General features: G+C 45.9%; 1 pseudogene; it reads left to right on the top strand.

Moving 5' to 3' along the window:
- Nucleotides 2,260-7,964, top strand: TMEM231P1 (TMEM231 pseudogene 1; annotated as a pseudogene).

Below are 11,737 nucleotides of genomic sequence, written 5' to 3'. Positions count from 1 at the left end.
CTCTCAGCGTGGAGCGGAATTATGCACACAGGCGAGTATACAGACTTTGATGCCTGGTGCTGCCGTTTTGCAAAAAGACTTCTCCAACCCACTGTCTTCTTTTTGAATTTTTAAATAAATCTGGCCGGGTGTCGTGGCTCACACCTGTAATCCCAGCACTTTGAGAGGCCAAGGCGGGCGGATCACGAGGTCAGGAGTTCGAGACCAGCCTGGCCAACATGGTGAAACCCCATCTCTACTAAATATACAAAAAAATTAGCTGGGCGAAGTGGCAGGTGCCTGTAATCCCAGCTACTCAGGAGACTGAGGCAGGAGAATTGCTTGAACCCAGGAGGCGGAGGTTGCAGTGAGCTGAGACCGTGCCACCGCACTCCAGCCTGGGCAACAGAGTGAGACTCCGGCTCAAAAATAAATAAATAAGTAAGTAAGTCTGGATATTTTAGTCCTGGAAAGGATACCACATTTGAAGTCAAAGACCTGATCTGAAATTCTGTCTTCACCATTACTTGCTGTACCTCTGATAAATGCCCTAACCTCCCTCACCCATGATTTTCTCATCTATGTAATGGGAAAATACTTGTTCTGCCTACCTGGGGCTTAACATTTATTGTAAAGATCAAATGAAATGAGTTTCTCCCCACGCCCCACAGTGTATTGGAGTCTGGCAGTTGTCTCCTGGCCACTGTCCTCTGTTGCAAGTTGAGAAATGTGATCTTTACTTCCTGTCCAACCCTAAAGATCCGGAAGGCGTGGATCCGTCACAGAGAGTTACACAACATTGTCTACCCAGATCCCAATTGAAGAAAATCCACAGGAAGACAAGGCAGGCTCTTTTCATCCTACCCATAATGACTAATCCATCATTGCCTCAGTAACTTGATCGTCAGCCCGGGTAGCAGATATCCCTCCCCGAAGCTGATGAAACAGGGCAGAGAGGAAGTATCCAAGAGAAAAGGGAGGGAGGTTTCTCTAAAACAAGACCTACAATAAGGACATTATTGTCTAAAGGAAATAAATAATTGAAAGTTTCTGAAAACTGAGATTTCTTCATCTCAAATGACTTTATTAGCCCAAAAAAGTACAAAAATTATTTTCCTCACATAATATTAATGGTGGGAATCAAAATGAATCAGTAGATGGGGGATCCAGATTGGAATGCTGCTACACCATAGTAGAATCCTTCTGGGAACCTACGGTGGGAAAGGATCACTTGTAGCAAAAAGATCCAGAGTTGTGCAGAGGGACCACGTCAGCAGTGATCACTTTTCAGTAACCGTCTTTTTCTGCTGATCATTTTAGGGTCACTATGAGGTCAGACTGGATGGTGGGAGTGGATACCAATTTTTTTTTTACTGCCTACATATGCTTCATGAGCTATAATTTGTCTTTTTTTCCACCACAGATCTCTGTTTCTTTTCCTTACTTTCATGCCCATAATTTATCTTACAGATGTGGTTTAATGCTTTGCTGATTTGACATAGCTTTCTTTTCCATTTCATTGATTGCTACTTAAAGATGCACAAGGCTTTCAGGGCCTCACATGAATGATGAGATGAGATCCAACGTCAAGAATCTGAAGCAAAGACACTTGTGGTTTCAGAACGTGTAAATAGAGCTTGGTGATTTTCTGTTGAGTTTGTTGGGGGAATGCATAATGATTAGGATTAGGTGTTTTTCTATTTTAAAAAGTTGCTTCTAGAGGCATAGAAGACAATTCTGATACACTATTTAAATTTTCCATACAAATCCAGGCATGTTTATGCAAAAGAAAAAAAAACACCAGTACAAAACAAACAAGATATGATCTGACTGGGCATGGTGGCTCACCCCTGTAATCTTAGCACTTTGGGAGGCCAAGGCAGGAGGATCCCTTAACCACAGGAGTTCAAGACCAGCCTAGGCAACATAGGGAGAACCTCTTTAAAAAAAAAATTTTTTTTTAATTTAAAAAAAAAAAGATCAAATGAGACAAATGCTATTCACATGTTTCTTGTCTTGTTATCGCCACTTCAAGTTCCCATTTATTTTGTCCAGTGAACATTTGAAAGACTCAGATATGAAGTTCAGGGGCCATGCACTTTGTGCCTCTTTCCCCAGTATTAATGCACTTACACCTGTCTATTTTTCTCTTTCTTTTAGTGGGGGAGATAATGCCTCTTTCTTTTGTGTACAGCAGGACAGTGGGTCATTGTGTATGTACAGAAGTGATGTGGATTCCTCCCAGACTCATTAGTGACCAGGGCTGCTGGGCCTGTTTGGGTTTCCTAGACTAGAGAAGAAGACAGGAACCAGGATGGGAAGACGGACATGTTACATTTTAAGCTGGAGCTTCCCCTGCAGTCCACGGAGCACGTTCTCGGTGTGCAGCTCATCCTGACTTTCTCCTATCGATTACACGTGAGTCAGTCCGCTGGGAGGCTGTCCTCTCCCTTGTGTCTTTTTAGTAGACCAGAGTCCTTCTTCTGATTTCTAGAAGACCCGCACTCTAGCGGGCCCTCTTCCCCATGTAGTTTGGGATTTAACTTAGGCCAATGGAATGGTTTTCACTAGTCATATTAACTGACATGGGCTATTAATAGCTCAGAAGGTTCTAGGCAGTGTTTCCTGCATGGCTACGCTAGGTATGTGAGGGCCTCTTAGGTTTCAGCCAAGACAGGTGACTCTTAGCACCCAGAGCCCTTCAGATCTGATGGCGGTTGGTATTGTTGGTCCTTCTAATGATTTCAGAGGATGGCGACCCTCGTGATGCAGAGCATGGCGTTTCTCCAGTCCTCCTTTCCTGTCCCGGGATCCCAGTTATACGTGAACGGAGACCTGAGGCTGCAGCAGAAGCAGCCGCTGAGCTGTGGTGGCCTAGATGCCCGATACAATGTAAGGGCGCTTCTCATTGTCCAGCTCCTTTGTTTCTGTGTGTTACTGTTCGTCGAGTTCTTTGAAGAGGGGGATAAAAAGTAGAAATATTTCTCTGTGGGTGGCTTTCAAGGGACCTTCTGAGGAATTCTTGCCATGAAGTCTTTTCAGACTATGAAGATACACCTGTATTTACACCTAGAGGGAGAGAGAGAAAAAATCTGTGTTTGTTGAATAACTAAATTGTTTATTGCTTTTAGGTACACATGTGCACGTGCACACACACGCACATACATTCTCTCTTCCATACACATACTTGGAGTATGTGTTTCCAAGAGATCATGTAAAATGTTCATGTAAAGTATTTCAGAAATACTACTAGACAGTTTACTGAACCCATAACATATGCCAGCCTTGAGTGCAGGGGTTTATACGTATCATCTCCTTTAATCATCACAGCAACCTCTGAGCTGCCTGCACTGTCCTTTCCCAGCACTCCAGCCAGTGGTCCCATTGCTGTCCCCCTTGCTACTTTGCAGCCCCCCTGGCCTTTTTGCTGTTCCTTGAACCCAAGAAGCAGCTGCCACCTGAGGGCTTTTGCTCTTGCCATTTCCTCTGCCAGGCATCCATGTGGCTTATCTAACCATGCCATTCAGGTCCCTGTTCAGATATCGCCAAGCACCATCCTTCCCTGACCTGCTTCTAGAGTAGCAGCCCCTCCCTCCACCATCTCTCAGCCAGACTCTCCCTCCTGCCCCCTGGCCTACTCAGGATATGTGTTTGTGTGTTTATTTGTTGTCTCCCTCAGCCTTGACAGCAGTGGCATCTCATACACTATCATGTCCATGCCTAGCACACTGCCTATCACTTGGTAAGCTCACAGAGAAGCTTGTTTGAAGAATGAACTCATTTTGGAGAAGACAAAACTGGGGCTTACAGTGATTAATTTTCCCAAAGGCTCAAATCTTGAAAGTATAACAGAGCCAGGAACTTTCTGTGTCCAGAACTCATGCATCTAATCACTCATTCCTCACCTTTATTTTATCACAGTGGGGACCATAGAAGATGAGCTGCTGTACTTTGGAAAATGAAAAAGGGAAATTATCAGTTATAAGGCATCCTCCCACCTCAGCCTCCAAGGGTACTGGGAATACAGACATGAGCCACTGCACCTAACCTTTTTTAAAACAATTTCATTTATTATTTTATTTATTTTTTGTGACAGAGTTTCACTTTGTCACCCAGGCTGCAGTGCAGTGGCGCAATCATGGCTCACTGCAGCCTTGACCTCCCCAGGCTCAGATGATCCTCCTACCTCAGCCTTCTGAGTAGCTAGCTGGGACTACAGGTGCATGCTACCACGCCTGGCTAATTTTTACATTTTTTGTAGAGACGGGGTTTGCCATGTTTCTCAGGGTGGTGTCAAACTCCTGGACCCAAGTGATCCACTCACCTTGGCCTCCCAACATGCTGGGATTACAGGTGTGAGCCACTGTGCCTGCCCCCGCACCCCCTTTTTAATAAAAAAACTAGACTCTCACTCTGGCCCAGGCTGGAGTGCAGTGGCCTACCTATGACTCATTGTGCCTCATACTCCTGGGTACAAGCAGTTCACCCACCTCACCCTCCCTGGAAGCTAGGACTGGAGGCACCACAATGCCTAGTTTATTGGGATTTTTTTTTTTTTTTTTTTTTTGGTAGAGATGGGATCTTTATGTTGCCCAGGCTGGTCTTGAACTTGTGTCCTCTCAAGCAGTCCTCCTGCCTCAGCCTCCCAGATTGCTGGGATTACAGGCATGAGCCATGACATCCAGCTGAGAGAGATTTTATAAATAGCTTTAAAATCTATGAAACATGGACACTGACCACTTATTTTCATCCCCACAGAAGGAAGGACAGAGTAAATGAACTTAAATTGTTGCAAGAGAGTTTATTCATCTTTGAAGAAAAGATTATTGATACTGCAGTAGGCCACCAAGAACAAGAGGGTGCTCTGTGGGACCAGCCTGGGTGGGCAGAAGGGTAGAAGGAAAAGAGGAGGAGTCTCCCAGGTGCTCACACCACATCCTCCTCCCGTGTCCCAAGTATCTGTGACCAACGGGACCAGCCCCTTTGCCTATGACTACGACCTCACCCATATTGTTGCTGCCTACCAGGAGAGGAACGGTGGGTCACAGGTAGAGCCCATTCAGCCGCTGCTCAGGACTTTCAAGGTTAGTGGGGGCAACAGAGACAAGCAGAACTGGAACCCTTGTGATGAAAATGTCAAAACCCGTGAATGCTCAACGATGGGAGCAAATGTGCTGCCCAGGATTTGTCTTTTTCGTCCTGATCTTCAGACCCGGGACCACCCGCACCCCTCCAGCATCCCGTGGTCCAGCAGGCTAGTGATGGTTAAATGCCATCATTATCCCACCACTGGCTTGGTGGGTTTCTCTTTTAAAAAATATAAGCCTAATTGAGTTGTTCCCCATAGCACACCTATAACAGATGCCAAAGACAAATTGCTGTTCATGCTTTTCAGAGAAAAACAGAGAACGTGGGTGACTCTCCCCACATTAGCAGTCCAGCAGGAGAACAGGAGTGCCCCTGTTTCCTGCCAGAAGGCACAGTGTGCTCATTCCTTACAGAGCTCTAGGCCATGGCATGTGTTCACTCGGCATGTTTGGCTGGTCCGTGGCTGAGGATGTCTGTGAAGGCATCTAGAGTGTTACTTGGCAACCAGACATCATGGAGACTATACACAAACATTTCACAAGGGGGAACGACTGCAAATCCAGTATTGCTTTCTGATTTTATGTCATACATTAGCAGCATTTTTATAATAGTAAAGGGAATTCTAAAACAAAACTAAAAAGCACGGCCCAAGAAATCGATGTTTTTTCTTTACTTTTTTCACTCTTTATTCTTATGTGGATTTTAAAAATATACCTATTATGATAGTGTTGAAACACTTTGGCATCCAAATTATTTGTATTTCCATGTAATAAAAGTATTTCCCCACACTGCTACAAAGTTCTAATTTTTTTTTTTCTTGAAGAGACACAGGGTCTTGCTCTGATGATCAGGCTGGAGTGCAGTGCTGTAATCATAGCTGATTGTAACCTTGAACTCCTGTGGGCTCCGTGATCCTCTCACCTCAGCCTCCTGGGCCGCTAGGACTACAGGCACGTGCCACCATGCCCAGCTAATTTTTTTTTATTTTTTAGTAGAGAGAGGGTCTCAATATGTTAGCCAAGCTGCTCTCAAACTCCTGGCCTCAAGTGACCCTCCCACCTTGGCCTCCCAGATCCTTGGGATTACAAGAATGCGCGACTTTGTCCAGACAAACATATTATTTAGAGTGGCAACATGTTATTCTTTCAGTTAGCCATTCAGCAATTGTAGATGATCACATGACCATTTCCAAGTTTTTGACGTATTTTAATATAAATATCGTATTAGTCCTTTCTCACACAGCTGTAAAGACATACCTGAGACTGGGTAATTTATAAAGAAAAGAGGTTTAACTGACTTAGAGTTCTGCATGGCTGGGTAGGCCTCACAATCATGGCAGAAGGCACCTCTTCACAGGGCGGCAGAAGAGAGAATGAGAGCAGAGCTAAGTAAGCAGATCTGATAAAACCATCAGATCTGGTGAGAACTCACTATCATGAGAATGGCATGGGGAAACTGCCCCCATGATTCAATTATCTCCACCTGGTCCTGCCCTTGATCCGTGGGGATTGTTACAATTCAAGGTGAGATTTGGGTCATAGAGCCAAACCATATCAAATGCTTTTTTGACAAGTATCTTAACAAATTATTTGTTAATCTACTTTGTACATGCAATTTTTAATGCTTTCGAATGATTTCTTTTAGTTCTGAAGTACAGAATATCCCACAGGAATAAAATAATACTTTTATAGCCGAGCGTGGTGGCTCATGCCTATAATCCCAGCACTTTGGGAGGCTGAGGCAAGCAGATCACCTGAGGTCGGGAGTTCAAGACCAGCCTGACCAACATGGAGAAACCCCATCTCTACTAAAAATACAAATTTAGCTGGGCATGGTGGCACCTGCCTGTAATCCCAGCTACTTAGGAAGCTGAGGCAGGACAATTGCTTGAACCCGGGAGGCAGAGGTTGCAGTGAGCCAAGATCACTCCATTGCACTCCAGCCTGGGCAACAAGAGCGAAACTCCATCCCAAAAACAATAATAATATTTTTATAGCCCTAATATATTTTGCCAATAGGCTGCCCCATCATGGATTAATGGTTAATGATTGTATTGCAGTTGCCACCATCCTGAATGACCCCAACTTCATCTGGCTGGTAGGCAGAGCCATGAAACTCCATTTGTGATTAATGTTGTCATCCAGTACCCTGTGGAAACCATATCATATCCTTTCTGTTACAGAGGCAGTGGTAACTCAACTTCCAAAAAGGAAAGATTCCAAAGTTGTCCCCAGCAGAAACACATGTGGGAGCCTTTGATTGGAAATTGCTACAGCACTGTATCTCCACATAAATGACTATGTCTGCTCTTTATACAGGGGGGAAGATCATTTCCTGTTCGTATTTCTTTCTGAGCCATTCTTCTAAGTCAGAATCATCCATATTTATTTTTTAATAATCTTTTATTATTCCTTTCATCTTAAGAGTATTTGAAATATTCTTGCCATATCCTGTCTGGCCTAAACCTTAGTTTACTTTGACTTATACCATGTGGTCCCCAACTCTTTAACTGTCTGTCCTTATCAGCCAGGATTCTGGGCGATGGTAAAGTTCGCCTGGGTGCAGTATGTCAGCATCCTGCTTATCTTCCTCTGGGTGTTTGAAAGAATCAAGATCTTCGTGTTTCAGAATCAGGTGGTGACCACCATCCCTGTGACAGTGATGCCCCAGGGAGAAGTGTGTAAGGAGCACTTATCCTAGAAAGGCCGTTTCTGAAGACTCAGCAGGACCATGGCTGCCTCATTGTCATCTTCTGGGAACGTCTTAGGACCTTTTGAAAGAGCCCAGCGGACACCTGCGGGCTTGTGTGCTTTTCCCTCAGAGACAACGGTTCTTTCCAGTTTTGCTCTACACAGTTCCGTATCTTCAGAGCTCCTGCAGAATTGTCAGGGACTAGTTTGTGGAAAGGTCTGAGAGTTCCTGGAGGCTATAATTAGCTTTTTGGGTTTTTCTTCTTTGCCTTAGCGTTGAATTTCAGGAGAAAATTGCAGTCAGTTCAGACATCTTGGAAAGAGTCCCATCTCTGGTCAAGCAGAGACTTTTCCTCTGTTGAACTGAGGAACACACTGTGCATTTCTTCCTTCTGTTGTGAGCCACTCTTACTCTTTTCAGGGCTCTCTTGTGACAAACATGCCAATCACTAGCACTTTGCACCCCTGGGCTTCTCCATTTCCCATTCACAGCTTTGATTTCCAGAGCTGAGGCCTTTAACTGGAGACCTGGAGGGGCAGGGCCCAAGGGCAAGGGCCGCATTAGCACAGGCAATCAGGGAGGGCCGCTGAAGGACACTTGGACCGTCCACCTGCCCCAGCCCAACAGTCAGTCATCTGTCATCAGCTCAGCTGAGCAGCCCTGGATCCCTGCCCGACTGTGGCTGGCTCTTTGCCCGGTTTTTCCCTCTGTCTGTGCCCCTGGATGGCAGGCTGAAGTCAGAGGGGCTGTTTCATTCTCAGCCCCCTCAGCAGCACTGGGGGAAGAAAGCATTGTCACAACAGGTTCTTTCTGGCCCTCACCCAACAGCCTGGGCACTTGGCCCTCCTCCTCCTTGACAGCCCTCCCCCTTCCTGCAAAGGACAGGGGCGACAGGGGTTGGTGTTGGGATTGGCTCCCGCTGCCTGACAACCACAAGTTTATTTGGAAGGCTAGCGGGAAGCCCAGCGGCTGGCGTTTCCCTTGACTAAGGAAAAGGGTGCCCATCAGAGTGGGGCGGGCAGCTTTGGGAAGGACACAAGAAGCAGTGAGGGTGTAAAGAGGATGCTGGCCTGGGCAGGCCAGTCCAGCCTGGCCACTAGCAGAATACCAAGCAGTCCAGTGGATTATCCTCGTGGCTAAGCAAGTGTCTGCAGGAGCAGAGATGGCTGGAAGGGGCCTCTGCACACGGAAGATGGCTTGTTCAGCCGATTCACCTCCTGAGGATGCGTGCAGTCTCCTCCAAGAACACATGGAGCTGCTTCCTGATCCCAAGCAGGTCGTTGCCCCTGGAAGGACATGGCTCCGGTGATCCATGCTTCATGCCCACCCAGAAACACACCCCTCAGTGTGTGCCTCAGTTTACCTTGGAGATCATTTTTCATCTCCAGCATCCGTTTCCTTTAGGCTGACTAAAAACAGTTTTGGAAACAAAGCTATTTTGAAGTATTCAAGCAGAGGAATTCTCTAACACTGTCCCCCTTGTCTTTTTTTAATATTCTGGCTATTTTAGATGCCTAAATTTTTTTCTTGAGATTTATTTATTTTTATAGATGGGGTTTTCACTATGTTGCCCAGGCTGGTCTTGAACTCCCAACCTCAGGAAATCCTCCTGTCTCAGCCCCACAAAGTGCCAGGAATATAGGCATGGGCCAGTGTGCCCCGTCTCTTGAGACTGAAATGAAAAATTGCTTGTGGTTTAAATCCCCAGAATTTAATGAAACATGGGAAGATGGCTAAAGATACGTATAAACTTTGGTTTGCATTTTATTAAATTATTTGAATGCAAAACTTGTATAAAGAATCCATTATGTTCTGTAGCTTTCTAATTAAAATGTTCAACATGGAAGGTTGTATTAGCTATTTTTGAAGCAAGGCTTTGGAGGGAGGAAGAATAGGGAGGGCTGAAGTTGAGCACACTTCTCCGAGTTACTCACCAGTAGCCTTGCTTTGCCACGGCTCTGCCCAAAGACCTTGGAGCTTTTGTTAGCTCTTTGGCAAAAGTTTCCTGGTCCAACCCCAAGTATATTAGTTTTTAGTGGAATCCACATGGCATATGGGAGCTGCGGGTTGGAAAATTACAACTGTGTCTGGTGAATATCAAATTATTTACGGATCATTTATTGGTAGTTTCTGAAACTGAACCACACAGCATAGTTGCAGGAGGAAGAAAGGTAAGAAATACACAGGATTTTATCAACTGAGCTGAAGCCATAGATAAGTCATATTTGAGATAATTATTGAATTTGTTTTGTGGGAGAGAAATCTCTAATTCTTCCAAATGATTAGTCCAGTTTCTGCCAAAGCAGGTGAGGTGTCTAATGCCCCACTGAGTGCCCATCTTGAAGCTTATTAAAGCAATTCTCTCTCTTTGCGTCCCTCTTACCTTATCCTCCACATCCTTGCCCCCTCTCCTTATTCATGCTTTGTAAAGAGGTTTTGGAGCTTTCTGGCCAGATAACTTCTAAATACTGATTAAGGAAATGTAAATTACATGATCCTAAGGAAAATAATGATTGCCGGCCAATCCCCTACCCAGAGTTATGGTTGGCCTTCTGGCACACATCTTTCTATCCCATACACTATTTCTAACTTTTTAAAAATCATGAACAGGCCGGGCACGGTGGCTCATGCCTGTAATCCGAGCACTTTGGGAGACAGAGGCGGGCAGATCACATCTGAGCTCAGGAGTTCGAGACCAGCCTGGACAACATGGTGAAACCCTGTCTCTACTAAAAGTACAAAAATTAGCCTGGCGTGGTGGTGGGCACCTGTAATCCCAGCTATTCAGGAGGCTGAGGCAAGAGAATCACTTGAACTCGAGAGGCGGAGGTTGCAGTGAGCCTAGATCCTGCCATTGCACTCCAGCCTGGGCTACAAAAGTGAGACTCCATCTGAAAAAAAAATCAGTATCAAAATCATGAACAACACTTATATGAACCCTGTACATAAATCCTTGTTTCTGGTTTATTTCCTTAAGATAGCTCCTAGAAAGGAATTACCAATCCGAAAAGCTTACGACCATTGTCAAGAATCTTAATTCATCTTGCCAAACCACAACCAGGAAGGACTGCTTATTTCTTCTCCCAGCAGCAGGGAGTTCTTGATTAAGATCCCATCACTAATTTGACAAGACCTAGAAATGCTTCATCCTTTTCAGGTGCCTGGGCTCTGCCCTGTTATTTGTAAAGGGGATTTTTTTTTTTTTTTTTTTTGAAACAGTTTCGCTCTGTCGCCCAGGCTGGAGTGCAGTGGTGCAATCTCAGCTCACTGCAACCTCCGCTTCCTGGGCTCAAGCAGTTCTCCTGCCTTAGCCTCCTGAGTAGCTAGGATTACAGGTGCCTGCCACCACGCCCGGCTAATTTTTGTATTTTTAGTAGAGACGGGGTTTCACCCTGTTGGCCAGGCTGGTCTCGAACTCCTGACCTCGTGATCCACCCACTACGGCCCCCCAAAGTGCTGGGATTACAGGCGTGAGACACCGCGCCTGGCCGGATTTTTTTTTTTTTTTTTTGCGAGGGAGTCTCGCTTTGTCGCCCAGGCTGGAGTGCAGTGGTGCGATCTCGGCTCACTGCAAGCTCCGCCTCCCGGGTTCACGCCATTCTCCTGCCTCAGCCTCCCGAGTAGCTGGGACTACAGGTGCCCGCCACCAGGCCTGGCTAATTTTTTTGTATTTTTAGTAGAGACGGGGTTTCACTGTGTTAGCCAGGATGATTTCGATCTCCTGACCTCGTGATCCGCCCGCCTCGGCCTCCCAAAGTGCTGGGATTACAGGCGTGAGCCACCGCGCCCAGCCCTGGCCGGAAATATCTTATTTATTGAAACGTATCATGTCTTTATCTGGACCTGCTATGAACCTGCGCCTCTGGGCCTAGGCTAGGGCAGGGAATGCGCAGGAGGAGGGGAAAAGCTGCGGACCCAGCTCCTAAGGCCACCTGGTCTCTCCGCTCTTCCCAGTTGGGACACTGCACCGGGTCCATGT

The sequence above is a fragment of the Homo sapiens genome, chromosome 16 (genome assembly GCF_000001405.40).
Source record: "Homo sapiens chromosome 16, GRCh38.p14 Primary Assembly".
Taxonomy (NCBI): Eukaryota; Metazoa; Chordata; class Mammalia; order Primates; family Hominidae; genus Homo; species Homo sapiens.
The sequence above is the reverse complement of the archived record's forward strand: the minus strand, read 5'-3'. Positions and strand labels throughout refer to the sequence as shown.